Source organism: Homo sapiens, chromosome 2, assembly GCF_000001405.40.
Source record: "Homo sapiens chromosome 2, GRCh38.p14 Primary Assembly".
NCBI lineage: Eukaryota > Metazoa > Chordata > Mammalia > Primates > Hominidae > Homo > Homo sapiens.
The window spans coordinates 110,976,950-111,003,208 of record NC_000002.12 but is presented as its reverse complement, the minus strand read 5'-3'; the positions used below and the strand labels follow the sequence as shown (position 1 = coordinate 111,003,208).

Here is a 26,259-nt window from a genome sequence, read left to right as displayed (position 1 = left end):
TTTTATGTTTGGGAAACTTACTCATGTGTGTGTAAATGTTTTCTTCTCTTGAAATCAGAAAATACACACAGGAAAAAATGAATGATTTGGTCTCTGACAGAGAACAACTATAAGCAGAAAATATTTCTGAATATTTAAGAAGTACCAGAGAGCTTCTAATTTCATGCTGAAAATAAAATTAAAGGTAGATATTTTACAATGGACCTATTTTTCTAATACGGATTGAACATCCTAAATCCAAAAATATGAAATCTGAAATGCTTCAGAATCCAAAAGTTTTTCAGCACTGACATGATGCTGAAAGAAAATGTTCATTAGAGCATTTTGGATTTCAGATTTTCAGATTTGAGATGCTCACAAGTATAACGCAAATATTCCAAAGTCAGAAAAAATCTGCATTGGAAACACTTCTTGTCCCAAGCATTCAACCTGTATTAATAAAATAAAAAATATGGAGGGTAGGGGGAATGGGAAAAAAATAAAATGAAAATATGAAAAGAAGATGATAGACTCCTAAACCCTAACGGTAAAAACTTAGAAAGTTGGAGAAATAAAGTGTTAGTGGAGAAATGTGGACCCTAATACCATGCTGGAAAAGTACAATTTAGTTCAACATTTATAAAGAACAATTTTGTAGCATGTAAAGTCTGAAAGCCATACTGTTAAGGATATTCATTATGACATTGTCCATATAACTAAAAACACAGAAGCATCAGAACCTCATGCAATCATGTTTTTATTGACATAGAAAGATAACCACATTATATTATTAAATGGAAATATTGGTTGAAAAATATTGCAATTCCTCTTTATATTTTGCTTCAAAAATGTGTATATCAATGCCAAAACTTTTGAACAGTTTTTTGTTTGTTTGTTTTTGGATGTTATATTAGTTACCTATTGCTATATAACAAATTATCCCAAAATTTAGCATCTTAAAATAAAAAAAATTATCATCTCACAGTCTATGAGAGTTAGGAACCTGGGCATATCTTGGTTGCATGGTTGGCTCAGATTCTCTCATGAGATGACAGTCCAGTTGCTGGCTGTCTGTCCCAGGCTTGCAGTCTCTGAAGCTTTGGTTAGGGCTACAGGAAACACTTCCAAGTGCATTCATAAGTTTCCGTTATTTGCAACATGGGCTGCTCATGACATGGCTTCCAGAGAGAGAGAGAGAGAAAGACAGAGACAGAGAGACAGAGACTAAGACAATTTCAACGATATAATGTGGGCACTCCATGAGGGCGTGACTACAGGAGGCAGGGATCGTTGAAGACTGTCTTGGAGCTTGGCCATCATAGCCCATCCTAATCATCCTTAATGATTCACATTCCTCTAAAAACATACACTTCCAAGGCCCACAAAAGTTTCACCTCATTATGGTATCAGCTCACAGTCCAGAATCCCCTCATCTAAATTCAGTCTAGGTGCAAATAAGGCTCCTCAGGTGTTATTCCTTAAGTACAGATCCTCTCCCTTTGAAGGCTGTTAACTAAGGAGACAAGTTATCTGTCCTCCAATATATAATGGTGGGACGGGACAGGATAACTGTTATATACACTCTTACTCCAAAATGAGGAAAATGGGAATAATGCAGGAATCAGTGGTCCATATAAATTCTGACATCCAGTTGAGCAAATGTTGGAAGTTCCTTAATAAGGGCACAGTCCTATGCACACCCAGGTGGTTTGATTCTCTGTGACCCTTGGCTCCACCCTCTGGGTTCTTGCTTCTTCCCTCTGAGGCATCCTGACTTTTTAATGAAAGGAGCACTTGTTTATAGCTAGGGTTTTTTTGTTTTGTTTTGTTTTGTTTTGTTTTTCTCCACTTGTTCCCTGATTGCAGAAGCTTAGTGGCTCTATTCATTTTGTATTGTCTCTGTACCTTTCAGCACAAGCCAAAAGATCTTTGCCTGATATAATTCTCTTAGAAACTTTGTGCATTTCCTGTGAATCTTTGGGGAGGTTTATTCCATTAGACAAAAGCCACACCCACAAATCTCTTTGACATAAGCCCTTGGGGGTGTTGAGAAGGCTGACAGAGGATGCCCTCAAGCTTCCTAGGAGCTTTATTGTATAATTGAGAGAGTCTGAAAGACATACTTGTAAACTCAGAAGGCCTTTTGCATGACTTAAGACTTACCTTTAATCTTTTTCGGTTCTTAAAGAATTTTACAGTCATGCCTTGGGCTTCATCCTTAGATTACACATTTCTGGGAGGGTCCTGGATTATACTTCTGCTCTGAAGCCATTTTAATTTTTTAATTTTAGCACTGTCTGCTGATATGGTTAAGCTGTGTCTTCCAAAAGGACATGTTGAAGTACTAAGCCCTGGTACCTGTGAATGTGACCTTATTTGGAAATAGGGTCTTTGCAGAGCTAATCAAGTTAAAATGAGGTAATTAGGGTGGGTCCTGATCCAATATGACTAGTGCCCTGATAAGCGGAAGAGACAACAGAGACTTATGGGGAGATATCATGGGTATGTCATGTGATGACAGAGGGGGAGCCTGGAGAGATGCGGCTGCAAGCCAAGGAATATCAAGCATTGCCAGTAGCAACCAGAAGCCAGAAAGGGCAAGGAAGGATTCTACCCAGGGTCTCAGAGGGAGCAGGGCCCTGCTGCCACCATGATTTCAGATTTCTGGTCTCCAAAGTTGTGAGAAAATAAATCTCTGTTGTTTTAAGCCACCTAGTCTGTGGTGGTTTGTCACAGAAGCCCTCAGAAATGAACACATTGACCATATGAAGAGCTCAGGGATCTTCAAAACCATATTAACTGCCAGGTCCTGCATATTAAAAGCTCTTTCCTTGAGATTCTCTCTCTCTTCTTGCACATCACTGAAAGCCACAATAAGAAGGCAGGCAACACCTTCAACTTGCGGGATGGACATCTCCTTTGCTAGATCACTTCATTGATTGGGTACATTTTCTACTTTCCACATAACTTCAGGCAACAGTGTGGCTACAGCTATGCCACTACGTAACAAGGATCCCCCTCCTCCAGTTTCCAATAATTTTTACCTCATTTTCCTACAAGTCCTCACCCACAGGTTAAGATCATAAAGGTTTCTGGTAATAATTTCGTCAAGGTACTTTAGGCTTCTACTAGGACTCTTCTCAAAGCTAACTGCATAGGTGCAAACCCACACTCCCATTTAGGCTTTTGTTATGTCAGCACCCAACTTTTGGGTGCCCAAATCTGGATTAGGTATCTGCTGCTGTGCAACAACCTGCCCCAAACCTAGTGGATTACACCAAGTGTTCATTATGCACACAGTTTCTGAAGCCTGGGAATCCAGAAGCTGCTTGATGGTGTGGTTCTGGCTCAGGGACTCTCATGAGGTTGCAGCAAGTGTTGACTGTCCCATGCTTGCAGTCTCTGAAGCTGTGACTGGAGCTGCAGGGTACACTTCCAAGGTTACTCATGTGGTTGTGGGCAGGAAGCTTCAGTTCCTTGACACCTGGGCCTTCCCATAGGGCATTCTTATGACATGGTTTTGCCCAGAGTGATTAGAGATAAAGAGAGAGAGTGCAACAGAGTGACCAAGATGGAAGTCATAATGTATTTTATCTGGAAGCAACATGCCATTATTTCTGCTGTATGTCACACAGACCAACTCTGGTACAGCATGGAGAAGACACTCAAGGCTGTGACTATCAGGAGGTGGGATTCTTGGGGGTCCATCTTGGAGGACAAAATGTATTTGGCACATACAGGCTCATGGTTATGAGGTCATCATTTTGCCTTTCTGGTTAATGCTTTTGATAAGATTAATATTGCCAACTGGTAGTGGCTGGATTATGTCTCTCTAAATTCAAACATTGATGTCCCAACTCCTAGTACCTCAGGATGTGACCATATTTAAGAGATGGGAGTCTTGAAAGAGGTGATTCAGTTAAAATGAAGCTGTAGAGTGGGGCCCTAATGCAATACGACAGTATTCTTATAAGAAGAAGGACACCAGGGGTGTGGGTGCATGGATGGATGGCCATGAGAGGTAGCAAGCGGGGCGGCCATTACAAACCAAGGAGAGAAGCTCAAAGAAAACCAACCCTTTGGGAACCTTGATCTTGAACTTCCAGCCCCCAGAACTGTGAGAAAATAAATTTCTGTTGTTTAAGGCACTCTGTCTGTGGTATTTTGTCATGGCAGCCCCAACTAACTAATATAACAACCTTTTGACAGATATCTGAAAATATCTTGCTGTTTCCCAACACACATTTACTCATTGTTTACTTTTGAAAATCTTTTAAAATATCATTTTTTGTTTTGATGTGTATAGTTATACATCAATGCATATAATTAGATTTGTTTCTATACACAATGTGTAATCTAATCTAATCTGAGAGTCTGTGCTTTTACTAGGAGGATTGAAACCTCTTTCATTTCATATTATAGCCCATTTTAAATCTAATCCCCCACTTTCCAGAGGTGGGAGCTGGAGGGATTTAAGGCTCTCTAGGATGAAAATGTATCAAAAGCTGCCTCTCCACTGCTTAAGGGATCATATTGTAATGGAAATGTTGTTTTCAAGGAATTACCAGATCAACTCAGTTCAAGATCAAAGCATTAATCTTCTGGGGCCAGAGAGAGGGGTCTTGAGTTGAGCCAAATTAGAAGAGACAAAGGGGATATCACAATTAATGGGAAACAGATTTAGGGAAGCAATCCCGGAGAAATTCTCAAACCAAGGCGCAATTCGCAGTGGGAACTTTTTAAACAGCTCTCCTGGCCTTGCTGTGGGTTCACTTAAAGGAGCCGCACTGGAGTGTCTTTGAGTCTTCTGAGAACATGCTTTCTGATTTGTTCTTTGCTTTGCTCTGATTACACAAACTTCTGACCACTTGTTTATCTTCACTGCTTTGTCTGCTGCAGTGATTTGGAAAACAAGCATTCTGTGTTCAGTAGTTATGTTAGCTTTCAATTTAATAAAACATATATTTTAACCTATGTTTCTCTAATTACTAAAGTCAGAACAAAACAAGGTCTTTTGCTTACCCTGTAATTAATGTAAGAAATTCAGTATGTTTTTACTTTGTCTTTCATCTTACCTTAAAAATTCGTATAGACTATTACAGAACCAGTTTATCAAGTTTTTTAAAAAATCATGTTTTTTTCCAAAAAAAAAATATTTTTAGCTTCCGTATTATTTTTTGAGACAGGGTCTCTCTCTGTTGCCCAGGCTGGAGTGCAGTGGTGTGATCTTGGCTCACTGCAACCACTGACTCCCAGGCTCAAGAGATTGTCCTGCCTCAGCCTCCTCAGTAGCTGGTACTACAGGAATGTGCTGCCACACCTGGCTAATTTCTTTGTATTTTTTGTAGAGATGGGATTTTGCCATGTTGCCCAGGCTGGTCTCCTGAGCTCAAGCAATCCGCCTGCCCTGGCCTCCCGAAGTGCTGGAATTGCAGGCATGAGCCACCACGCCCAGCCAATTTCGTGACTGTTTTTTAAAAACATATAGTATTGGCTTCACAGGGACCGCCAATCTTTTTATATCTTGACTTCCTTATTTTAGAGTTATTCATTTTGATTCTTTTTTGTGTCCTATGGAGTAAATTTTAAGATAACTTTTTAAGGAAGGCTATATTAGTGAAATTGCTTCTGATTCTTAGATATCTAAAAATATCTTTCCATTGGCTGTACTCAGGGATTAAATCTGGCTTGGAATATTATGCTTAGATCATGAAGTTTCCTCTTTAGAGGAGTACTTATTACTCCATTTGGAGCTAGTGAATGACAGCAGCTAGCCTAATTTTTTCTGTTTTTGAGTAAGCTATTATTTTCTGTCTTGTTGCTCACATTCTGTTCTCTTTATTCTAGATTTTTCATCTATGTCTAAGTATAAGTCTTTTTTTTCCGTTAGCATAATGGAAATGAAGGAAATTCTTTTTCTACTATGTCTGTGATTATTATTTCTGCTCCTTTTGTCCCAGCACTTCCAGGAATATTTGTTATCCATAGGTTAGATTTCTATCATTTCACTCTGCTTCTGTTTTCTTCTCTTATCGTTTTGTCTTTAGCCTTTTCTTCTATAGTCTTCGAAAACAGTTTACAGATTGCATTTTCTCCCTTGTTAATTCTGCTCTTCACCGCAGCTGTAGCATTTTTCCTTTTGGATATATCCATCTCTTATTTTGGCTGGCTCCATGTTTGATATGTGGAGGATATGTGGAGTGATTTAAACCCAACTGAATGCGTTTGTGGGGTCTGGCACAGCCTCACCTCAGATCTACGCCTGGGGGAAAAATTGATTTACACAATTCCTAGCCTGGCTTCCTGCAGGTTCTCATCCAGTGTGGCTTTGTTCCACGAGGGTGGATCTTGGCTGCTTTCTGCTTCCAGGGCACTTCTGTTTCCAAAGCATTTCCTAAGAGAATACCCATTCCCATGTACCATCCATCCTCTTCCCTTCTACCCCTGCTGTGTTGTACTAGGAGACATGACCTTGAAATTCATATAAAAAGGGGTGAACTGGAAGGGGAGAATTGCAGGAATCCAATTCTGGCTGGCTTGGAACCTAATTCCCATGCAGAAGGAGAGAAGCAACCTGGACTCTTGTTATGGTAGCCCTGAGCCCCTGGCCTGGACATAGAATAGGAGCAGTAAAGCCTTCTCCTGGGGTTCCATTGGCTATTCTGTGCCGGATCAGAAGATGAAACAGATATTGCTAGGGTGGACAGTGATCCCTCAAACTAACCCCACTGGCACTGTACTTGGTGGAAATTTCCTCTAGATTTCTATCAATGCTGACACAAGGTTTTATGCTTTTGCAGAGCTTTACAGGTATTTTAATAGGAGACAGAATGCATCTTAGACTAACCCAATGTTAATTTTTACATATGCCTGAGGCAGTTCCCCTCCCTGTCTTAGAGAACGATGTACTCTTTATACACATAAAACAATGATTTTTCAACTTTGATAAGGGCTGAAAATTACACCACTCATCAACTCCCATGGCAGCCACATGATGCCTGCAGGTGGAATTCTACAAGATGACATAAAGGGGGTTAAACAGAAGCATCCTGGCCTCTAGAGCAAGCAACGGTATCATGCAAAATGGCCCGTAGGAACTCTAGCCGCTTCCAGGAGCTTGTCATTAGGCTGACTCATCCTCTACTAAACTTAACAGATAGTTCACCAGCAAGGATATCCCTTAAACACATGTCAAAAGGAAAAATATAACACAGTGTATCTTTACCTTATAATAAATTCTGGCCACCAAACCCCGCTGAAGAACCCTTTCACGAAATTTCACTGCTTTCAACAGAAAGGCGAGATCATCAACTGTGTCCATGTTAAATGCCAGGAAACTGAAAGAAAATCACGGTGACCATCATTATTATTTTGGCCTCACCAAGAATTTCATTTGAAAGAAATAGAGTAGGTTTGTTTTTTAAAACTATTTTTTTCTGTAGAAAAATAGTGTCAATAGACATAATCTCCCCATCCCATCTCTCACTGACTGTATTCATAATTCTTTTCGGTAATCTTAGCTCTAGTTTATTCTAGGTGGTTGTCCTTGTGGTATAGAGATGATTTGGTTTCCTAATTGTTCCACTTACTATTGTATTATAAGTAGTGTTCAATATTTTACATAGTCTTTCTTAGTTAACAGCAATGTAATTTCTGTCAAGTATAATCAACCATTATACAATTCATGTATAACTCAATCATTATACAATTCTTTTTTTTTTTTTTTTTTTGAGACAGAGTCTCACTCTGTTTCCCAGGCTGGAGTGCAGTGGCACGATCTCGGCTCACTGCAACCTCCACCTCCTGGGTTCAAGTGATTCTCATGCCTCAGCTTCCTGAGTAGTGGGGATTACAGGCACATGCCACTGTGCCTGGCTAATTTTTGTATTTTTAGTAGAGACAGGGTTTCACCATATTGGCCAGGCTGGTCTTGAACTGCTGACCTCAAGTGATCTGCCCACCTCAGCCTCCCAAAGTGCTGGGATTACAGGCATGAGCCACTGTGCCTGGCCCCCATTATACAATTCTGTCAAGTGAGTTTATAATAATAACTCAACCACTATACAGCTCTATCAAGTGAGTTTATAATAACCACTGCTGGGCATTTATTATAATTATTATAATTGGATATTAATAATCAAATATATCTATTACAAAATATTTATCAATTAATAATACTTATTAAATATATTATATATCAGGAATTGTGTTCATTATCTGCTGTGAATTATTCAATTTTCTCGATAATTCTAGAATACTATAATTATCCAATGTAGAGTTTAGGAAACTGAGGCTTAGCAAGATTTGGTAACTTGCTCAAGGTCACACAGGCAGAACTCAGTCAAGCTCAGGTTTTGTTGGGGAACATCAGCATTTAAAGCAAGAGGCACCCTGGAGGGAAGTGATAGGGCTGTGTGCAAGCACAGGGGAGGATGTGCTACAGAGATGGTAGCTTTCTTCAGCAGGCAGCAATTCCCATCTTTCCCATTTGGCAAATGAGGAAACTGAGGCACAGAGGAGTTAAGAGAGGTAAGCACAGACTCAAAACAACCAAGTTCACAATTAAAAGCTCGTGAGCTTTTCATCATGAAACTCTATTTCATGCCAATTTTATGGACCCACCATGAACCTTTAGATAACCTAGACAACCAGGGGAAGGGTTAATTCACACTTAGGGTTTCCCATAGCACAGCCACCTCTTGCCCTCCCCTTTCCCCACTTCCTGAGGAAGTAAGTTATTACAAGACTCAAATAACTTAAATTCATATTAACTAAAAAAAAACCCAAGTGGCTGTTGTTGCTCAATCAGAAGGCACGAGAGAAACGTTAAGAAGCAATTGACGCAGTGCTTTTGAGATGCCAAGTGCTGAATTAATAATCACCCTCCATTTAGACAGGGAAGAGGAAAGTATTTACATGCCAATTACCGGGACATTTAAAAGATGTCAATGTTTATTCTGAATCTGGGCTTTAAGAAGTTTGGGTTTCTGCCTCAGTCTATTTAATGAAAGATGTAAAAAGCTTTCATATATTATTGAAAAGTATGTTTTAGTCATTCCAGGGGCTGATATTGGAAATTAGCTTCCCTGGAATTCAGACTGTAGAACATGTTTGTCCACCTGAGATTGTGAACTGCACGTGCTGCAGGAAGGGGATCTCACCCACTCGCTGAGTCATGTGAGTCACATGTCATGTAGGTCTAGGAGCCTGCCCAGTGCAGTAGAGTGTGCAGACTTTCTTTAAAAATAGAAACATTGCTAAAGGCAACCTCCTTGTAACTGTGTATTTTACAAGAAGATCCAAATGACTCTATTTTTAAATAAAGTTTAAATTAAATTAAAATAAGTATCATTAGACATCAGGGAAATGCAAACGGAAACCATAGTGAGGTAGCATTATACATCCACCAGAATGACTACAATTAAGTACACTGACATCAAGTGTTGCCCAGGATCTGGAGAAACCAGAACTCTCATGCTTGCTGATGGGAGTGTAAAATGGTGAAATCTCTTTGCAAAATGTTGTCACAGTTTCTGATAAAAATAAATGAACACATACCCTATGATCTAGCAGTTTCACTCCTACTAATTGCCTAAGAGAAATAAAAACATATGCTCACAAAAAAGGTTATACAAGAATGCTCATAGCGGTTCTACTCACAGAAGTGAGAAACAGCAAACATCCCAGGTGTCTATTCATCCATAAGAGAATGATTCTACTATATCCATAAAGTAAAATACTACAATAATGAAAAGAAACAAACTAATACACACAACAACATGGGTGAATGTCAAAAAGTATTATGCCAATTTCACGAGGCAGCTACAAAAGAGTACATACTGCCTGGTTCTGTTTATGTGAAGTTCTAGTATAGAAAAACTAATCTGTGGTGGGAAAATATCAGAAGAGTGGCTGTATCTGCGTAGTGAGATTGTCCAAGAAGGGGCATGAAAGAACTTTCTGGAGTGATGATCTGTATCTTAATATGAGTTTGGTTACATAGGTTTATGCATGTGTCAAAACTCAGTGAATGTACACTTAAGATTTGTGCATTTTATTGTACGTAAATTCAACATAAGAAGAACTATAACTAAATATGTAACTGTAGTTAATGACGCTCATGCTAAATTATTTAGAAATGTGCTGATGTCTACAGTTTATTTTGAAATGGATCAAAAAGAGAAGGTGAATGGATGGGTGAGTTCCATACACAGATCCATAGATATGATAGTGATATAGCAGGTACAGTAATAGGTTGATAGAATCTCCATGGTTTGTACATAAATGCTTCCTGTAAAATTATTTCAACTTTGCTGAATATTTGTAAATTTTACAGCATAATGTAGAAAAACACGTTGGGTGCAAGGCAAAATCTTGACTTTCCTGGACATCTACCACCACCTCCTAAAGGTCCACAGGCTGATGAGAGTGGGAGGGGCCCCAGTGGCAGGCTACCATGCAGGAGGAAGAGAGACAACCCTTGCAGGGACAAGCCAGAGCTGAATGGGGCTATCTGCAGAGCCAGGTACAACCCCCTTTCAAAGCCACTTCCTTTCAGGGCTCCTCTCCCTGCCATGCTCCATCTGCCTTACCTCGTCCCATGGAGGCTTTTCAGTACCATGACTGACTCCTTCCAGGCCGAAATGAGGGGTAGTTACTGTGCGGACAAATGGGTGCCCACTGGAGGGATTTAAGGGTACCAGGAAGTTCTCAGCCCATCTTTCCTCAGGTCCCCACCTGCTCAAGAGTACCTTTCTCAGGGCTGTCACTATGCCTACTATCCTACTGCTCTCGGAGTGCAGACTCCATGAAGACAGAGCCCCTAGTAACTGCTGATCACCAATGCTTAGAGAAGTGCCCGGTACACAGTGAGTGCTGAAAACACTTTGATGACAAAGGCTTTCCTTCATATAAAGTCAGAGTAAGTAAAGTTTCGGGATTTAAGTAGATAAACACAGGGACTGAATCAGTAAAACCTAGATGTGTGGGAGACAGATGTACACTGTTTTGGAGGTTAATAACTGAGACAAAAATAAATGGACTGGAACTTTCCAAATATTTACATTTGGAATACTGCCTTTGGCACATCTCAACTCTGTGCTGGAAAATGTGCTAGGGATATAGATTTGCATATGGGTGAGAGCGTGTCGTGCTTCCAAAATGATGGAATCAAGCCCTGCTTTGCTATCTGAAAAAGAAACGAAAGGGCAGATGATTTGTGGCCAGTTGGGGAACAAGTTTCCTGCAAGGATGGAACTGATTCTGGTGGGGAGTCGTACTATTCTTTCAACTCCTTAATATGTTGGACAATTTTCAAACTAATACATTGGAGGAAAAAGCTAACCATACTGTAAACGTCCTACTCAACAGCTAGAAATATTAGGAAGACCCACTAGCTCTAGTATGAAGACAAATGGAGACATTTAAACTAACAGAGACTCCAGTGAAACAGTCCTAACATGTAGGAGCTCGTGTTTTCAAGCTTTAAGATGGACCACAGTTTGAATAAACAGGGTCCTGAGCAGCAATAAAAAAAGGAAAAAAAAAGACAGATAACAGATTTCTCAATTTCACGTCATCCCAATGGCTATAAAGAATCCCAGGCCATCATTTACTGTGTTTTCCATGTGTTTAATCAGGATTGTGAGATTCTATTTTCTAATGAATAGTTTCCTTAGAAACTAGTTCAATACTTTTGGTTTGAGGGACCAATAATCTCATTCAAAAAAATAATAATTAAAAAATACACAAAAGAAAAAAGCATAACAAGCTCTCTAAAAGTATAATATAGGAGACAATACATTCATGAGCATAAATCAATGAAATAGAAAAGAAAGGTATGACACAAAGGATCAAAGGGAAAAATCAGTTGTTTGAAAAATAACAATAAACCAGTCAAACATCTGAATGAGACTGAGCAACAACAACAAAGAAAGGAGAAAGCATAAGAAGGCATTTTAGGAATGACAAATGAGACACAACTACAGATCTAGCAGAAGTTAAAAAGGTAATGATAGAATAGTACACATAAAAACTTATACCAATAAAATCAAAACCAAATGAATAAATTCCTAGAAAAATACAATTTACTTAAACTAACATGAAAAGAAAAGCCTAGGCTTTAAACAATTAAGCTAATTAAATAGTTTACTCGCCAAGCCCGGATTATTTTCAAATTTGATGAATTATCAAATTCTTTCACAGAATAAGAAACCACTCCCCCCAAAATAACTCTATGAGAGATGTAAAACTTTGACATAAATCTAAATCAGGCATGTACAAGAATGGAAAACCATAAATATACAATCTCCTCCCCCTAAAAAATACTAACAAGCCAAATCCAAGAAAATATAAATATGATAATACAGCATAACAAAATTGAGTGTTTCTTAAGCATGCAAGGGTAGTTTAACATTAGATGATCGGCAAAAATTATTCACCAAACTAACAAAATGAAGAAGAAATATATGATCGTTTCAACAGATGCAGAAAAATATCATTTGATAAAATTAATCTGGTAATGACAAAAATACATTTAAAATGTATAAGCTTCTTTAGGAAGTAAAGTGTGTCTATCAAAAACTTCAGCACTCCAGCCTGAAAGACAGCACAAGACCCTGTCTCTAACATAATAAATAAAATCAGCAATAAGACAAAAGAACACCTTGTAAGATGGCTTCTATTCAAATTGTGTTGGTGGTCCTAGCTCTTGCTGTGAGACATGAAAAGAATAAAATAAATAACAGTTGGAAAGGAAGAAATAAAAATTTATAATTTGCAAATTAGTGTCTATGGAAAAAAACTCCAAAGAATCTACAGACACATTTAAAAGAAATTTCTTTACAGTCAGATTTATAAACAAAAGCCAATTGCATGTATAATAAATCATTAACTACAAAAATCATAATTTAAAAATATTCTTTTAACAACAAAATTATAAAGTAACCAGTAATAAATCTATGAAAGGATATAGTATGTATGGAAAAAATTATACAACCCTGAAGGACACTTTGAAGATGAAAATCTTTGAGAGGAAGACCTGCTTTATAAATATGTCAATTTTCTGCAAGTATATAGATTTAATATATTTTCAAAGAAACTTTCAGCAGGTTTGCAGGCCTGTGATAACAAATAACAAATGGTAAATAACAAAACATTTACCATTTTAATTTTATTTATTTATTTTTTTGAGACGAAGTTTCACTCTTGTTGCCCAGCCTGGAGTGCAATGGCGCAATCTTGGCTCACTGCAACCTCCGCTTCCTGGGTTCAAGCAATTCTCCTACCTCAGCCTCCCAAGTAGCTAGGATTACAAGCATGTGCCACCATGCCTGGCTAATTTTATGTTTTTAGTAGAGACGGGGTTTCACCATGTTGCCCAGGCTGGTCTCAAACTCCTGACCTCAGGTGATCCACCCGTCTCAGCCTCCCAAAGTGCTGATACACGCATAAGCCACTGTGCCCAGCCCATTTTGACTATTTGTAAGTGTACAGTTCAGTGGTATTAAGTACGTTCACCCTGTTGTACAACCATTACCACTATTCATCTCCACAACGTTTTCATCTTCCCAAACTGAAACTCTACCTATGAAACAATAACTACCCATTCTCTCCTCTTCTTAGCCCCTGGGAACCAATATTCTACTTTCTATCTCTACGAATTTGACTACTCTAGGTATGTCATGTAAGTACAATCCTACAATATTCATCCTTTGTTTTACTTCTAAGAAACTTGACAAACTTATTACAAAACTTACATGAAATGGCCAAAGATTCTGAACAGCCAACCCAATTCTGAATTACATTTCTGATATAATAATACTATAGTAATATTTTATTATAAAGCCAGAGTAATTATAACAGTGTATTGTTGGATCAAAAATACACAAAGAGACTAGGAACAAAATAGCCCCAAGACAAACTCTCAAATAGACGGAGATTTAATAAATGTCAAAGAGACCTTGCAGGTTACTAGAAAAGAATGTCCAATTCAGTAAACGGTGCCGGAACAACTGACTGTCCACAAAGGAGAAAAATAAAATTAGATCCCTTCCTCAAACCATACACAAAAATGTGTATGGATTCAATAATTAAATGTAAAAGGTGAGACTTTCAAAGTTTTAAAGATATAGATTTCATGACCTCAGAATAGATGATGCAGAAAAAGTGTTGGATATAAAAGAAAAGATTGATAAGTTCGACTATAATTAATGAATTTATCTCAATCAAAACACACGATAAAGAAAATATAAGACAAGCCACAAACATAGAAAAGATAATTATAGCATTTGTAACAACAAAGGATAAAGAGCCCTTAAAAATCAATAAGAACAAGACACACACACACACACACACACACACACACACACACAATAAAAATAGGCAAAAAACATGAACAGGCATTTTACACAGGAAGAAATACAAATGGCAAACAGACATGTGAAATCATGCTCATCCTTAATAGTAATTGAGAAAATTCAGTTTAAAGTCAGGGTGAGAGATCATTTCTTATATTGTATTGACAAAAATTAAGAAGTCTGATAGTACCAAGGGTTGGTGAGAACAGAATAAGGCCCCACAAGATACATGCTGCTAATGGGGGTGTAAATTTATACAACCACCTTGAAAAATAATTTGTCACTATCTAGTAAAGTTGAACATTACTCCATAGCACAGCAATTCCATTCCTAGGTAATATATACCGTAGGGGAGTGTTTTTCAAACAACAGATTGCAAATAACTAAAAGGTCATAAAATCAGTTTAAGGGTTGGGGTCAGTATTTTTTTTTTTAGGCAAGGTCTCACTCTGTTGCCCAGGCTAGAGTGCAGTGGCATGATCTCAGCTCACTGCAACCTCTGCCTCCCAGCTCAAGTGATCCTCCTGCCTCAGCCTCCCAAGCAGCTGGGACCACAGGCATGTGCCACCACGCCTGGCTAATTTTTGTATTATTTTTGTAGAGACAGAGGTCTCACCATATTGCCCAGGCTGGTCTCGAACTCCTGGGCTTGAGCAATCCTTCTGTCCTGGCCTCCCAAAGTGCTAGGATCACAGGCATGAGCCACCATGTCTGGCTGAAATCAATATTCTGCTAAGATCAGTATTCTTTAAAAATAAAATTTAAAAATATCAGAGAGCATCACTAGTAATAAATAGGAAGGTAGCCACTGCTCCATGAACTGTTTGCTTCAGTTGCGTCTGAAGTGGAGGTCCTATGGATATATGGGTGTCCATGGTGATTTAAAGTGTATTTCTTATTCTAAGTAATGTCAATTAAGTTTGAAAGCCCTATAAAAACTCTTGTGCACATCCCCCAGAAAACATGTACAGGGTTTTTCATAACAGCATCATGCAAAATATCAAAAAACCATACACAACCCAAATGTCCAAGATATCAGAGATTAGAATGGGTAAGTACAGTGTGGCATATATACAGGATGGAATATTACAGAATATTGTGAAGAGGAGTTCTGCACCTATACTTAACAATTTGAATGATTCTAAGAAACAAAATATTGAGGGAAAACAAAGTTACAAAATGTTACATATATTATGCTTTATTTATAAAGCTAACAGACAATACTGAAAGATTAATACAAACAACCAAAAGCATGGATGTTGAAGCCAGACTGTCTGGGTTCAAATCTCACCTCTGCCACTCACTAGCCATGTAACCTTGAGCAAGGTACTTAACCTCTGTGCCTCAGTTTCCTCATCTGTGAAATGGAAATAAGAACTTACCTCATGGGGTTTTTAGGATTAAAATCTGTAAACTGCTTGGAACAGTGAACATGAAATAAAGAAGGAACTCAAGGAGAAAGAACAGAATGAGCAATGTTTTAGTTTTTAAGTTGGTAGTGAGTGTATGAGTATTCATTTTACAGATTCACAGATTTCTTGCATACAGCAAACACTAAAAATTTCAAGCAAGAGTGAGTTATGCCAAGGCTGTATGAACTCAGGCTTCATGATAACCCACTGAAGGCAGATGATGATGGCCTGAGTAATACGTACCTGGTTCTCAGCTTGTCCCCCACAGATTCAGCCCAGTTTTGGAGCAGGCCAAAGAGTGGTTTTTCTTCATACTGTTTGGTGTATTGGGCCAGCAGTTCCCGCCCCACAACCTGTGCAAAGAGTTTATCGCTCATCAGTCTCAGCAGTGTAAAAAATGACAGTATCTTTAATACTGCAACCCAATAAGATCTATTTGTCACTTAGCAAACTCCTTGGAAGGAATCAAATACAAGACCTCATTCTTACAAGGGTCTCTATTTCCCCAAGGCAAATGTGGGGCATTTATCACACCATCCCCCATCCTCCCCTGTGGCCAACTTCATTAACTACTTATTGCTTGCTCTCCCTTCTTGCCTGTATCAGTCTCTAACACTGGTCCTGGGACCAACTGTTTTAGCTGACACTTTAGTAAAACCTGCTTGCCTTCCGTGGACCAGAAGGCTGGTCCGTTCTCTTTTTCACCCCTGACATTCTCTGGTCAATTAGACCTTTGGGGAATAGTATTGAAATGCACAAATAAAACAATCTCTATCCTCTACTTCAATCTCTATCTTCTACTTCAGCAGCTTTAAAGTTATAATTTGGGCCTAAAATACTGCATGCTCTTCTGTGGCGGTTCAAAGAAGATGTCCATGGCTAGCCCGCTGCAGAAACTCAGCTGATGGTTAGCAACAACCACTAGACATGTGAACGAGGCCACCTTGGACCAGCGTGCCTCCACTCAGCCCCGACATGCTGCTGCCACAGCACGAGTGAGCCCAGGGAAGACCAGCAGAGCAGCAGAAAAACCACGTCGTGTGAGCTTAGCCCAAACTGCTGACCTACAGAATCATGAGCTAACAAATTGTTGTCTCAAAGCACTAAGTTTTGCGGTGGTTTGTTACAAATCAATAGATAGCTGATTCATTCTCTTTCAACTATCAATTTAAGAACATTTCTTCTTTGCTTTATATGCATGCATGTTTTTATACAGATTATATAAAATGTTATGTTTGCTTTAACTCAACAATATATCATAAATGACATTTTTGATTTGCACTGTTATGTAGAATTCTATTTGTTTATTTACTAACCGTATACTTTTGTTTTGATAAATCATAGCTAACTAAACATTTCCATTTGGTTGGATACTTAGGTTGTTTCCAGTTTTACATTGTCATAATAACCTTGATAGCAATATAAGCAGACAAATAGCATAGTCATATTTTGTATTATTTCCTGAGAATAAATCCCCACGAACTTGATTGATACAGAGGCTCTTAAAGAGGGCCACTCTGCCAATAAGAGGGATGCTGAAAACTTTCAAGGCATTTTTGCCTGGGGAAGCTTTATTGGCATTGGTGGGCAGAGCCAGGTATGAAATGCATGGGACCGTCTCAACCAACAGAGGACTGTGCCATACCCCGTGTCCTGTCAAATGCCACGTGGTAAAATACATGCAGGCAGTTAAGAGCCCTGAACTTAGTTACACCAAAGCTTTCAGGTTTTCCAAGTCCCAGGCCTATGGAAGAATTAAACTCCCCTGTTCCCTTGAAATTAGAGGTGCTTTAGGCCAGTACACAAGTGACACCGCCGCCTCTCCTTTCCCATCCCCATGGCAACCTGCAATGCTCCCAGGTGTGACTGGACCATAAGCCTGGGCATCTGCATTCGAGGCTGACACAGTAATTCTGAGTATAGATGCAGGCATTGTATGTCTTGCTGTGATCATGTTTACTTTGTTATTAAATAAATATATTTATAATATAAATAACTTGCCTTTGGTTTCCTTAAGTATTGTCTTGAATTCTTGCAATTACGTCTCTAGATAGGTTATGTGATCCGTGATTTCATTCAGGTTAGTAAAGGGAGTGTTACAAAATATTTATTGTCAAAAAGAGGGCATTAGGTCCAGTGAGATTGAGAATCACTGCATTATGGGTCAAAGAACATGTACATTTTTATGGCTGCTGCTACACAAAGTAAGTGTGAGAATCAAACCCTGCCAGGATCTGGAAAAGTGGGGAAAATAAAATGACTTTAACTAGAATTAAAATTAAAATGATAATAGCAATCCAGTTCCATTTCACTAACGCAATACCAGGATTAAGATTTAACTTTGTTTTTGCTAATCTATAAAATTTATGATGGCTGTAACTCTATCTCACTCTTGCTGCAGAAGCAATGTCACTCCAAGTATGAACAAATTGCTTTCTCTGATTCCCACTCCCACAGCTTTCTCTTACTCTATTTTTCTCCATGGCATTTATGGCTACCTGGTGCTACAGACCACAACTTGTTTACTGGCTTGCTGTCTTCCGGCAGCCTGGAAAGCAAGTGCCAGGGGTCGGAGTGTGTCCATCCTTGTGCCATCAGACAATGTACTGCCCAGAGCCCAGAGGCGAGGACTCACCCTTGAGTAAATGAATAAGTACATTCCCTTCCTGTTCTCCCTATCTCATCCAATACGTCCAATTCCTTGATAAACTCCTTTAACTTCTGCCGCTATTTCCACTTTTTCCATTTAAGCAACTAAAATTGGGTAGAACTAACTCACTCTAACTAGGATTAAAATTAGAATGATACAATAATCAAGTTCAGGTGCTAAACTTAAGAAAGACAAGGGAGATAAATTTGGTTCTGGCTAACATCACAAAAGCAGATTACTCACTTTGGATCTTTGCTCCTTTTCTAGGTCATGGGACAAGGAAACGTGATTTTAAAAATGAGTTTATTTTCTGCTGTTGATGCCCCTTTGGTGAAAGATTAAGTGATTGAAGCCATCAGCTACCACGGGATTTGGGCATTACAGACTCTAGGTCCAGTACTTTATTTTATAAATTACCAGGCAGAGGCAAAGAGAGATCAGTCACCACCTAGACTGAGTGTGCAATGAAGATGTGCTTGTTTTACCTCATAGAGGTGTTCCTGAATATATTATAATATACTATGTAGTATATATGTGTGTGTGTATATATATAATTTTTAACTCTATTTAAAAATAATCGTAGACTCACAGAAGTTGCAAAGTTAAAAGCGCATAGAATGATTCTCTCCAGCCAACACCCAGATTCCCCTAAAAAGTGATCTCTTGGCCAGGCGCAGTGGTGCACGCCTGTAATCCCAGCACTTTGGGAGGCCAACGTGGGTGGATCACCTGAGGTCAGGAGTTCGAGACCAGCCTAGCCAACATAGTGAAACCCCGTCTCTACCAAAAACATTAAAAAATTAGCCGGGCATGGTGGTGCGTGCTTATAGTCCCAGTTACTCGGGAAGCAGGAGAATCACTTGAACCCGGGAGACGGAGGTTGCAGTGAGCTGAGATCACATCACTGCACTCCAGCCTGGGCGACAGAGTGAGACTCTGTCTCCAAAAATAAAATAAAAAAGTGATCTCTTACATAATAATGGTGACTATCAAAACTAAGAAATTCAAAAAAATTTTTATTCATTACATGTTTTAGTTCTAGATATTTCATTACTTAAAATGGACCTAGTAGTAGATTGTTTTGTAAAGTGAAACATTATTTTCAGCAACACAAGTGATTACACTCTCCTGTAAGCCTGGTGTTTTACTTATTCAAGGTTTCCTTAAGACAACTTGTGATAGGTGATTGTGGGTGGTGTTTCTGTGGCTTTTCATACAGGTCTCTGGTTCTGCATGTTCTGCTGGTTCTGCACTCTTTATTTTCATATACACCTGCTCAGGAGCCCCTTTCTTAGTAGAACTCTAGGGTGAGTGAGCAGTCAAAACATCCATGTCTTTTCTTTTAAAAAAGGTCCCATCTGCAGGAGGAATCAAGCAAATCTACAGCCAACATTTGGAAACTGTGAGTTTGGCAATTGTGCAGAATGATGACATCATCAACATGCATTTGCAATAAATATCATATACATCATGCAACATGATTATGTAACACCAATAAAAGTTATTTCTAAGGTCAAATCACTTTTCAAGGCATCTATGAAGCAACCAGCATTTCCTCACACTAAGTATTTCACTGATTTATGCTAGGTACAGTGAAACTTGGATTAAAGAGCCTAACAAGTAGAGTTTGCTGCCAAAGCAGAAACACTTAGAGCCAATTATAATAGAAAAATGTGATTTCCAAGGAGATCCCACCAGATATCCATTATGAATCCAGGCAGTGGGACCATACTTGGGTTTGTACCATAGAGTGGGAGATTGACTCAAAGTGGCAGTACTTACGGCACTGGGCCCCATATCATGCTCCAAGGAGCCCTAGGTAGACTGGCTACATAATTTGGGGCCCAACGCAAAATGAAAATGCAGGCCCCCTTCTTCAAAAATTATTAAGAATTTTATGATGATGAGAACAGAGCACTGAACCAAGCATGGTCCCTTCTGAGGGCAGGGTCCTGTACCACCGCACAAATCTCACCCCATGAAGCTGGCCCTGGCCCTAGGGGTTCCAACAGGACTGCCAGATAAAAGAGAGGACACCCAATTTGTATTTGGACACCAAAATATTGCATGGGTCATACTTATACTAAAATAATATTCTTGTTTACCTGAAATACAAATGTAGCTGGGCATCCTATATTTCTTTTTCCTACATCTGGCAAGCCTAGGTTCCTGAAGGGCATTTCAGGGGTCACCCATGGGTATGAGAATGAAGAAAAGACTAAGGGGATGGTCTTGATTTTCCACCATCATGCATTTTAACTCTTTACCTCTTTTAGATGCTGGACATCCCATCAAGGCAAGATGTCTTCGGGGAGAATCTTTAAAAATTCCCTGGCTAGAAGAAATAGGCAGAGATGGAAGGGATGACAGAAGAAGAAGGGAGGGAAGAGGAGGGGAGGGGAATAGAGGAGAGGAAGAGAGGGGAGAGACGAGAGGAGAAGGAGCGGGGAGAGAAGAGAGGGAAGGGCAAAGGGAAGCGGAAGGACTACTTTAGCACAGAAACCAACAAGTAAGCAGCTCTGAGTAATTGCTGGGCCTTAAACACGGATTTGACTTGAACCCGGGAGGTGGAGGTTGCAGTGAGCTGAGATTGCGCCACTGCACTCCAGCCTGGGCGCAGAGCAAGACTCCATCTCAAAAAACAAACAAACAAAAAAAAACACCAAACCAAACCAAAACAAAAAACCACGGATTTGAACTTCAAACCAGGAAGGATGGATGGATCTGAAGCAGTGATTTAGGCCCAGCAAAAAATCATGCACAATTCAATCGAACTTAAGAGCGGTTAGTTTTGTTGTTGTTTCAGTTAAATCTGGACCTTGTTGGTGTCTCTTTCCAGTTAGATATAAAGTGGTTTCCCCTTTCTGGTTTCCCTCCTTCCTTCCAGCTACATTTATGGAGCACTTACTATGTACAAGGCACCTACTGTTTATATTGAGTATAGGGAACATTAAAAAGATAAATAAGATACAGCCGTCCCTCGGGGTCTTCCAGTGCAGATAGAGAGATCAGCCTATGCACACGCAACTATTCTCAGAGGGACCTGTAAAGAACATGACAGGTACAGAAGCACAGCAAGTTAAAAGTGGATCCCTTTACTATGAGGACTGGGGAAAGCTTTATGGAACAGGAGAGCTTTTGACCTAAGCCTTAAAGAACGAATGAGCTTCATTCATTTGTTCATTCATATATACAACACCTAATAGCAGCAACTACTCATTTTCTTTGAGCATCTATCTACTAAGGCTAAGCTCTGTTCCAAACTTAAGCTCTGTTCCAAACTCTTTAGATGGAATACCTAATTTAATCTTCATGACAACTTTGGGTAGTTCATGGAATCGCTCACCCCATGGTCCAATAATACAACCAAGGCCTAGAGAGGTTCAGCCAGTTGCCAGGGTCACATAGCCAGGAAGCGGTGGGGCTGGGATTTCAACCCAGAGTCCACGCTTTCAGATGGAGTTTCACTCTGTCGCCCAGGCAGGAGTGCAGTGGTGCGATCTCAGCTCACTGCAACCTCCACTTCCCGGGTTCAAGCGATTCTCCTGCCTCAGCTTCCTGAGTAGCTGGGATTACAGGCGCCTGCTACCACACCTAATTTTTGTATTTTAGTAGAGATGGGGCTTCACCATGTTGGCCAGGCTGGTCTCGAACTCCTGACCTCAAGTGATCCACCCGCCTCAGCCTCCCAAAGTGCTGGGATTATGGGCATGAGCCACTACACCCAGCCCAGAGTCCATGCTTTCAATAATTCCACACCTAAGCTGCACCTGCTATATGCCAGGCTCTGTGTAGTCACTGGGGATACAAAGAGAATGCAGGAACCCCTGGTGTGCTGGGGGAGGGGCAAGAGCAGACAGCATGTCAGGATAATGTGACGAGATGACAGGTGAACTCAAAGCTCAGTGGGCACAGAGAGGGGCTGCGCACTCACACTTGACATAAATTCTCAATCTGAGAAGGAACGGTAGCAGCAACAAAGGCTTTCAGGGCCGCGGGCAGAGCGGCTTTAGAGACGCAGCAGCATGGAGAAGCCTGGGCGGCCAGGGTGTACGGCAGGAAGGGGCAGGGGCAGGGCTAGACACCAGGGCCTTGGCTGCTGTCTGAAGAGCTGCCTTTATCCAGGCGCTTTGGGGAACTGAGTGACAGTGTCAGCACCTGGAGCCCAGCGTGGAGACTCAGCAGGCTGCCAGATGAGCCACCTCTGCGATTTCCTGTTAGAATTTCTGACCTGAAGCAGAGCCCACAGGCCCAATGAGGTGGTTGTGGTTGTGTGCTCCTAAGTTAGGAAGTTTGGGGTGCTTTGCTGTGCCACAATAGACAGGAACAGGGAGCTCTTCCAGTCCCTTTCTCCCTTCTTGGGGTCTCTTCTTCCCTTCGCTTCCCATCCCACACACCTGCACCACATGACATCAGTCCCCTGCACACATTTTCGCTCTCCTACCTGGAACTTGCCCAGGCTACTTCATGCCACAGTAGGGGCGTGAGCCCTGGTGTCTGGCAACCAAACCATCACCATATGCAGAACCCATAGCTTATTCTAGTAGCCACAACACAGCTTTAATTGAGCCCCTGCTGGGTGCTGAGTGCTCTACAGGAGTAACTGTAAGAGTCCTCCAAGGTACAGGTGATGGTCCCAGTTTTGCAGGTGAGGGCTGTAACTCTCAGAGGGGCTAAGCCCAGGATTTCACAGTTCCTCAATGTGGGTGAAACAGAGCCTGGGCTATCTGGCCATGAGGCCGCCCTGGCCTAAGCGTGTATTCTTCCTCCAGAGCTCCCTCCTTTGCAGCCTATTGTGTGCAAGGCTCTGTGACTCACCCCATGCCAAAGACGGGTTTTGTTAGACACACCCCTCATAACCCCCATGGCCATTTCACATTAAAAACAAATTATGTGCTTACCTTCTGTTGAAAACTCAGAATTTCTGCAAAGCCTGAACCAATGTTCCCCCAAAGCGATGGTCAGTGGGAGCTGAGGAGAGGTTACAGCCCCCTTGGAAAGGGGCAAAGGCCCTCCGTTTGCACCACTGCCCATGGCAATCTGAGTCTCGGGTGTGCTACAGTTATTAAGGTACCTGCCCGGCCTTGAAAGTGATTGATTTGGTGATCCCTGCTGTGGGCCTAGTCCAAGGGTCCCATGCACATGGTATAAAGAGCCTGGGAGGGTACCCCTGCCCCGCACCCCCTGTGCTCTTCCCGTCACCATCTGTAACTGGCCCAGTGGAGTCCAGCTCAGGAGCACACCACTCCTGCAGGCAGCTGGGGCCCTCACACCCCACACAGACTTCTGGCCCAAACTTCTCACTAAAGAGGTAGAAAATGCCATTTCTCATACAGCTGGGCCACGGGCACCGTCCTGGCCAATGGGACCTATGAGGAATTCAGCTGAAGGTTTCTGGGGAAGGTTTTCCCTCGTGCTGTCTTCCCCAGAATTGTGGCAGCTATTTTGAGACACTGATGAGATAATCCAGAAATCACTCCAGTGTCAATGGAACTGGACGCTGGACAGAAGCAAGGGACTCAAGGGCAGACAGGCCCCAGCTGTGGGGTCACCAAGGAGCATGGTTGGCGTTCTTATGGTTTCAGCCACTTTAGATGGGTATTTATTACAAGCAGACAAATGTGTCCTGACTGCTAACCCCAGTAGTGACTGGGTCTGAACCGAACTCAGGGAAGTGGATGTGTCCACCTTCCCTAGCGCAGGGCCGGCTGTTGTTCCCAAGTGTTTTCCCATCCCATTCTCACCTCCCCTGGCCTCCCTCTACCCTGCACTCACCCCCGGAATCGCCCTCATTTCCAGCAAGCCTCCTCATGTGCATGTGTGTGTCAGCCCCCTCCCAACACCCAAGCCCTGATGACAACAACAAACCGTCCAGTGTTGCTGGAATACATGTTACTTGTGGAATTTTTTTCAACTGAAAAGAGAAAGTAACTTGTCTTAAAGCTGTGACAAAATAAAGAATGAAATGGCAATGGGCAGAATGTTAAAAAAGAAATTCTACTTAGTTTGTTACAACTTGAGCATCGTGCAAACCCTTTCTGAAAGAAAAACAATTCTCCTTAACCCCCAATGTTGATTTGTTTCGAATTATAATGTTACTCAAACATGTTCAAACATAAAACTAGATATAAACACCTTATGTTTATAGCTCTTGTTCAACTCTAAACTATGAAATTAAATACAAGCAAAACTACAAAACCAATAAGATTCAAATCAACAGCCCTAATAACATGTGACAGACTGTGTTTTGCAGCATGAACTTGTTTTTTTCCAGCCTGCACCGGTTCCTTTGGGGGAGTTATACCCACACCTCTGAGGGCTGGGCAAAGAGATCCCTCTGCCACACTTCTCTGCGGTCTGTAAAACTCTCTGCTACGGTTTGAATGTGTCTCCTCCAAAATTTAGGTGTTGCCAACGTAATAGTATTAAAAGGTGGAGACGTTCAGGGGTGATTATGCCATGAGGGCTCCTCCCTTGTGGATGCGATTAGGTGCCTTTAGAAAAGGGCTTGATGGAGTGAGTTCACCCCTTTCTCCCCTTCTGCCTTCTGCCATGTGAGGATACAATATTCAAGGTGCCATATTGGAAGCAGAGAGTAGCTCTCACCAGAGGCCAGCATCTTGGTCTTGGACTCCCCAGCCTCCAGAACTGTAAGAAATAAATGTCTGTTCTTTATCAATTACTTAGTGGTATTCTGTTACAGAAGAAGACATGGACTAAGATACCTCTTCAAGCAGCAAGCACATCATACCAGTCTTCGGCCTCCACTAAACACAGATTTTTAAATCATAGAAAACCTACATCTGCTCTTTCCTCATTGGTTCCTGGTCATCAAGAAGGTGTTCTCTGGTGCTGATGGGCTTAGCAGTGCAAGACAAAGGCCAGAATCCCCACGGCAATCTCTGGTTATATGGTTGTTATCCTGATGATCTGTGTATACTACTTAGACTATATCTGTTTAGATGATCATCAAAATTAAGACACAAAATTAATACATTTTGTCAAGAACTCATAGTCCCCAATTTGAAAAACTACATTAAAATCAAATTCTGGGGAGCAGAGAAGAAAAGACAAGCAAAGGCCCCTGATCCAGAAGGCTCCCTTTCTCCAGAATCTCACACGTGGAGTCCTGATGAGGAACAATGTAAATATTTAGATGCTGCAACATCTGGTTTCGAAAAAATTAGTGCCAGCTTTGCGTATGGGTCAATGGATTTGGAAAGAGAAAAACAGAACTTGTCTGTTCATTCGTGGGAGTAAAGAGGGTTGTTATGTTGGAGGATGGGGTGAGTTTGTGTGCATCATGAGTTGGTTTGTTCTCTTGAAAAGCCCTTCCTTTCTTTGTCACTCTTCATTCCTTTTCTTCCCTCCCTGACATTTTATATCAAAAGGAGAGAAGTTTTTTGTGTTTTTTCTTTTTTTTTTTTGAGACGGAGTCTCACTCTGTCACCCAGGCTGGGGTGCAGTGGCGATCTCGGCTCACTGCAAGCTCTGCCTCCCGGGTTCATGCCATTCTCCTGCCTCAGCCTCCTGAGTAGCTGGGACTACAGGCACCTGCCACCACGCCTGGCTAATTTTTTATATTTTTAGTAGAGACGGGGTTTCACCGTGTTAGCCAGGATGGTCTCAATCTCCTGACCTCGTGATCCGCCCACCTCGGCCTCCCAAAGTGCTGGGATTACAGGAGTGAGCCACCATGCCCAGCCGGGAGAGAATATTTTTTAATGGTTTTAAATATACTTGATCTCTAAAAATTAAAAGCTCTATTAAATAGTCTTAAATAAAAAGCAAAAATCTCCTACCCAATCTTTTACCTTTAATAACTCACTCCAGAAATAACCATTTTTAAGTAGTTTTTGTT

The 26,259-nt window shown here is 40.8% G+C and overlaps 1 protein-coding gene across 29 annotated transcripts in view, besides 1 other annotated feature; it reads right to left on the bottom strand.

The window, feature by feature from the left end:
• The window catches only part of ACOXL (acyl-CoA oxidase like), a 385,976-nt gene that overhangs the window by 115,340 nt on the left and 244,377 nt on the right, over nt 1-26,259 (bottom strand). For 26 of the 29 annotated variants that reach the window (NM_001437600.1, XM_011511414.4, NM_001142807.4 and 23 more), the window contains 2 exons: nt 15,992-16,101; nt 7,205-7,316 (listed from right to left, as the gene is read on the bottom strand). In NM_001437600.1, the coding sequence (NP_001424529.1) occupies nt 7,205-7,316; nt 15,992-16,101 (222 nt within the window). Of the gene's footprint in view, nt 1-719; nt 1,158-7,204; nt 7,317-15,991; nt 16,102-26,259 lie in introns of those variants that run through there. The other 3 variants (XM_011511428.4, XM_017004431.2, XM_047444908.1) reach the window with 2 other exon arrangements.
• Nucleotides 4,276-4,850: an enhancer, noted in NCBI's record as "NANOG hESC enhancer chr2:111755936-111756510 (GRCh37/hg19 assembly coordinates)". NCBI's record gives its function as "activates a minimal SCP1, AML or CMV promoter by ChIP-STARR-seq in primed H9 embryonic stem cells {active_cell/tissue: H9 hESC(primed)}" and the evidence as "EXISTENCE:reporter gene assay evidence [ECO:0000049][PMID:30033119]".